The sequence below is a fragment of the Homo sapiens genome, chromosome 15, assembly GCF_000001405.40.
Source record: "Homo sapiens chromosome 15, GRCh38.p14 Primary Assembly".
NCBI classification, from domain to species: domain Eukaryota; kingdom Metazoa; phylum Chordata; class Mammalia; order Primates; family Hominidae; genus Homo; species Homo sapiens.
Genome location: NC_000015.10, coordinates 98173864 through 98179636, shown reverse-complemented (window position 1 = coordinate 98179636; position 5773 = coordinate 98173864). Strand labels below are relative to the sequence as shown.

At 39.9% G+C, this 5773-nt stretch overlaps 1 annotated feature.

Annotated features, from left to right (window-relative positions):
* Positions 218 to 1417: an enhancer, noted in NCBI's record as "CDK7 strongly-dependent group 2 enhancer chr15:98721449-98722648 (GRCh37/hg19 assembly coordinates)". NCBI's record gives its function as "activates an origin of replication core promoter dependent on BRD2, BRD4, P300/CBP, MED14 and CDK7 cofactors, with strong dependence on CDK7, by STARR-seq in HCT116 cells {active_cell/tissue: HCT116}" and the evidence as "EXISTENCE:reporter gene assay evidence [ECO:0000049][PMID:35650434]".

The window sequence follows — 5773 nt, the reverse complement described above, 5'->3', positions numbered from 1 at the left end:
TCTCTACTAAAATACAAGAAATTAGTTGGGTGTGGTGGCATGCACCTGTAATCCCAGCTACTGGGGAGGCTGAGGCAGGAGAATCACTTGATCCTGGGAGGCGGAGGTTGCAGTGAGCCGAGATTGCACCACTGTACTCCAGCCTGGGTGACAGAGCGAGACTCCATCTCAAAAAAAAAAAAAAAAAAAGAAAGAAAGAAAGAAAGAACCACATGGCTGATGTGGGGAGAGTTGGGTTGCACCCTAAGCCAAGGACAATCCTTTTTCATGGATTCTTTCCTACTGTCCCGACACAGTCCTCTAGTTCATCACGCCAGGCTGATTTAGTTCAGCTTGACATGCAACACACGAGACTTCTGTTTTCTAGAATAAATCTCCAGACATTTTATGAACCAATAATGTCCAAAGAGTACATGGGCTCTTTTGCGGCTTGGTAATTACCACTGACCTCTTTCCTGGACCCTTCTCCATAAAGAGGCCACCTCCTTGGGGCAGCTCCGCCCTCCCCTTTTCTCCAAGGCCGTAGGTGGAACAAGTAAGTTCCTAATTAGCCAGCCCGCGCAGGGAAGCTTGGTGTCAGGTTTTCAGGTCAGCCTTTGATGCAGGGGTAACCAGGGGAAGTGACGCATCAACTTTGATTAAAGAGCTATGATGAACCAAGATAAAAATTGACATTTAATTTCTCTCAGACTCGACTAATCTTGCAGACCAAAATTAAAGGTGAATTGTCTTCTCTTTTGGTTTGTGGGGTGAGGAATAGACTCACAGAAGTGATAAACTTGACAAAAATTTGCTATAATTTTGTTCTCAAATCATTGCTATTTAATTAAACAAAGCCTCCCGTCATGAATTTGTGGAGATGCAAAGTCTCCTACTTTTTTCAACCAAATCTGTAATATTCTTCCAGCACTCAGAAACACTCAAAGTCCGTTCACCCCAGCTGCCAGCTGGGGAACTCCATCCAAGAAGGATCCTAACCACTTCGTAAGCATCTCATTTACTGCCATGCTTACCTCCCTCTAAGCCAGTGGAAAGATGATCCGTGAAGCTTAAAAACAAACAAACAAACAAAAACCCATTCAACAGCAACACATTTAGAATAACAATATGTTCTGAAAACCACCACAACATGTGTGATTTTTTTTTCTAATTAAACTGACACCCCACTTTGAAAAAAAAACAAAAGAAAGAAGGGAAAACAGCTTCAAGTGATAATTGTCTTTTCTTTGATTGTCAAAAGTGATATAAAAAAAGGAAAAAAGTAACTTACCAGTTAGTAAACTAGAACACTATTAATTATTCTTGGAACATACACCACATTGACCTGAAAGTTTCCAAGGTGGAGTGATTTACAACAGCAGTGAATCCTCTCGTTCTATTGCGAATGGTCCTCAGACAGAGCTCGCTCAGGAAGAGGACTGACGAGGAGGCTTTCCCGGAGAAGTAGCAGAAGTAGCAGGCTTTTATCAGTAGATGGGGGTAGAGCAACACAGATGGAGCCTTGGTGTGCAGCTAGTCCTGAAAGTTTGTCCGTGAAGGTATGTGCACAAGCTTCATTGGGCACTATAGCAGGGAAGAATGCAAAGACAGAGGTTGAGATCAGATAACATAATCTTTCAAGTCCGCGTCACACTGGAGTACATGAGATCACAGGCAAATTCAAAAAACGATTTCCTGCCAAGCTCTACATTTCATTTTGCAAGCCTTTATTTAGGTAGGAAATGATACAATTATTATTTTTAGTTTTATTTCTCACTATTCTATTATGAACCCTTTCTTTTTCCATTCTTTCTCTTGTCTTATTCTTTGCTTCTTTTCTATAGTCTACAATTCCTTCTGTAGCCATCACATCTCTTTTTTGAATGGGGTGAAGTATAACTGAATACATTTTTTAAAGCTGTAAATGTTCTTGTAGAGTGTAGGGTTATGACAACTTTTCTCTAAAGTATGGAAGGAAAGGAAGTCATAGGCTTTCTTGTACAACTTGTCTATTTCCTTTAGAAGGAAATTAGATACATTGAATAGGCATGGAGGCTGAAATATATTCTAGTACTGGCTTGGTAGATAAAATATATTCTAGCATGGATATTGCATAATAGAAGCAATAACAAAATCTACAATAAAGTCAAATGTTGAGCTTGATCATGTGCCTCATCTGCTGGCATATTTGTGAATATTCGAGAGTTAAATGATTGATTGATTGATCATTTATTTCCAAATCCCCATTCCTCACTTCCATTGCCTCCTCCCACTCTTCCCTTACAGCAACCATGCTAAGATATTATATATATATAATAAATATAATATACAATATCCTATATATATCTGTTTATTAGCATGTATTGCTGAAAAATGTATATGTATTGTTTGTTTGTGGGTATGCTTTCTAATTTGCATAAACAGTATTCGGCTGTTGATCTCATTCTGTTTCTTTTTCTTCCCCACTCAGTATGAGTGCCTTAAAGATCTATTCATGTTGCTGCATGTGCCTCCTGTCTCTTGCTTCCAGTGGTGGCAGAGTATTTTATCCCACACATGATGCTTTCCGACTCCCACAAGAGTAGCCACCTAGACTGTCTCTGGTTCTCCAGATCCCAAACAGTGCGGTGGGAAGATTCTTACCCATATCTCCTTGAGCATTTGTGGGAGGTTCTTGGTGATCTGAACCTGACCACCAGATTCCTGTGTCATAGGACATAGGTGTGGCGAATCTGATGGCTCTCCATGATGACCACACCACTTTATATTCCCACCGGCAGAGCCTGATCCTCTCTCCATGTCCCAGACTTGGTGTTGTCTAAAGAACAAGGACATTCTCTCCATTTGTCAGATCTTCTTTTAGATTTCTTGTTAGAGTTTAAAAATATTATTTCTATTTAAAAATAGTAATTTTGTGTATTCCTTTAGTCAATTCCCAGATATTTTATAATGTTTGTAGCTATCATGACTTTCGTAAAGTTGTATCTTCTAGTTGTGTATTGCTTGTGTGGAAAAATGCTGTTAATTTTTTTGTGTGATTTTGTATTTCGCTTTCTTCCTGAACAATACTAGTGATCCTAATAGTCTATCTGTTGATTCTGTTGTATTTTATTCATAAGGAATATGTTGCCTGGAGATAATGACAGTTTGCCTTTTTGTCCTAACATCCTTCTCGTTTATGTATCATTTTTTAAAACATATGCTAGGACCTCTAGTACCATAAGCAATAGTAGTAATAATAATTCTTGTCTTATTTTTAATTTTAAAAAGTCCAGTTTTTCCATTAATTATAATGTTTGCTATAGGCTTTGGTACATACTTTTTGTCAATTCAAGGAAGTTTCTTTCCTTTCTATTTATAGTGTACTAAAATGCGTGTTCTGTATCTATTGAGATGATCACATGACTCTTCTCCTTCAGTCTATTAATGTGGTACATTACATGCATAGATTTCCCAGATGTTGATCTGCTCTTACATTCCTGGGAAGGATGTTGTTTTGATGACAGCAAAGCTGAATGACTCTTAGAAGAGGCCCTCAGGGTTAAATTTCTCTGACATACTGTGCCAGCGTATTCTGCAAATTATATACACGTATATCTTATACATATTTACTTATTCAATTAATGTTTTTCAAGTACTCTGTATTATACCCTGGACCAGATATGGGGATACGTTTTCCATTTCACCAATATTCAGAGAAAAATTTGGCCTTAAAGTAGTCAGTGGTTTCCCATGGCCATTAAACAAGACCATGGAGAAGCAACAAGGCCACTGTTGATTTTTGTCTTTGTCATGAAAGGCCTATTGTCGCTTCTGTCTGTCATTTGGGGGCTGCGTGGGACACAGGTATTAGGAGCTGAATAAACCCCTGTGCATCTGACTTGGGCTTCCACCTAGTTTCACAACTGATAGTATGTGGATTTGCTTGATTCATTAAGATTTTTAAAATACAGTCTTTACTTGTTTATTGCTGTGTTGCTTTCATCATCTTGACACAGTCATAAACCAATTAGAATGATAAACAAGCACTTGGTAAAATAAGTGTTTTGAAATCCCAACTGACAATGACTGAAACAAGGAAAATATAACTCATTCCCCTATGATTTTGTTGTGAGAAAAGCTCTAAACTTAATACGAACTACATACTTGAAGGAAGCAGGGTTGCATCCTGAAAGAGATTCCAACTTGGAATATGAGCATTGAGTTGTAGATACAGATTGTGCAGTAACTAAGTGCACACACAGAAGTATCAGATTGCATATTGTCAGGGTGGTCTTCATCCTGAAAATAGGTTTGGGAGGAAATAATAACTTAGGGTACCTGAGATGAAGTAATTGGATTTTCTGATTTCTCCTCTCACCTAATTGGATGTGCAAATGATCTGTCTGCACAATGAGCTCATGCCCATGGCTGTTCTTGCCTGCATTTATATGCGGCGAGTGTGTGCATGTGTATGAATTTACACCAAATCATACAGGCTTTATTCTCCTGCAGTGAGATCTCAGCACCCCAGAACAAAAAGAAAAATGGCTTCTTAATCATGATGGTCTTTGTAACATTCCCTTGCAGTTTTCTGGTAGTTTTATTTGACCTGTCATAAAAGCAGAGGACAGAGATGAGGCAGTGTGTATTAAAGTGGGGATGTCACAGGAGCCTTTGCTGTGAACTGGTGTATGCGCTGCACTCAGCAGGGGCCACTTCCTTATGTATAACTGTAATATTTTTCCTGTGTGTGTTTCCCACATCCAGCATTTCAGGCATTGATTTCATTTCAGCCACTCTCCCATTGTGAGGCTGCTAAGTATAGGCTAGACTCTGATCTTATGGGAAAAATCTCTCTATGGTCCAGAATCCATTTAGGGATTAGCCTCTCAACAAATGTCATTCCAGATTTCTATGTAAACTCAACTAAACTAAAGAATAAGTTTGCCTTATTGATCTGTGCTTATTCTTTCCTTTTCCACTTTACGATGGCTGCAGCTTTGGGAAGATCTAACCAAGCCTGAAGGGCAAGGGTGAGGGGAGTCAGAGAGGCTTCTTGGAAATGCAAGCTTCTATCTGAGTATTAGAGGTGGAACCGGGGTTGGTCTAGGAAGAAGGAGAAAAGGTGCTGCAGGCAGAGAAGATAACAAGGTCAAAGGCTTAAAGATGTGACAGCAGGTGGCACCTGGGAGACATGAAGGCAGCAGCACAACAGACAGATGGGAGGCGGGGGAATGTAGGAGAAATGGGGCAGGCATATCATGACCTCAGCATAAGCTTTTATCCTCATTGCCTCGGGAAGCCATGGCAGTGCCTTAAGCCCTGTCCCTGTCTTCATATGCCCTTTTGCTCTCATAGCTTTTTGTCCTGTGGATCTTCTGATTGGCTTCTCTCTTTATAGCAAGTTAACATAAAGTCAATTCCTCCTTAAAAAAGAAGCATCTGGGCTGGGCACGGTGGCTCATGTCTGTAATTCCAGCACTTTGGGAGACCGAGGAGTGCGGATCACTTCATGTCAGGAGTTCGAGACCAGCCTGGCCAACATGGCGAAATCCTGTCTCTACTAAAAATACAAAAATTAACTGGGCTTGTTGGAGAGTACCTGTAATCCCAGCTACTCAGGAGGCTGAGGCAGGAGAATTGTTTGAACCCAGGAGGAGGAGGTTGCAGTGAGCTGAGATCATGCCACTGTACTCCAGCCTGGATGATAGCGCAAGACTCTGTCTCAAAAAAAAAAAAAAAAAAGCATGCAATAGCATGCAACAGTAGCCTTAAATGCATTATTAAAGTAATAAATACCACTGTGATCCTC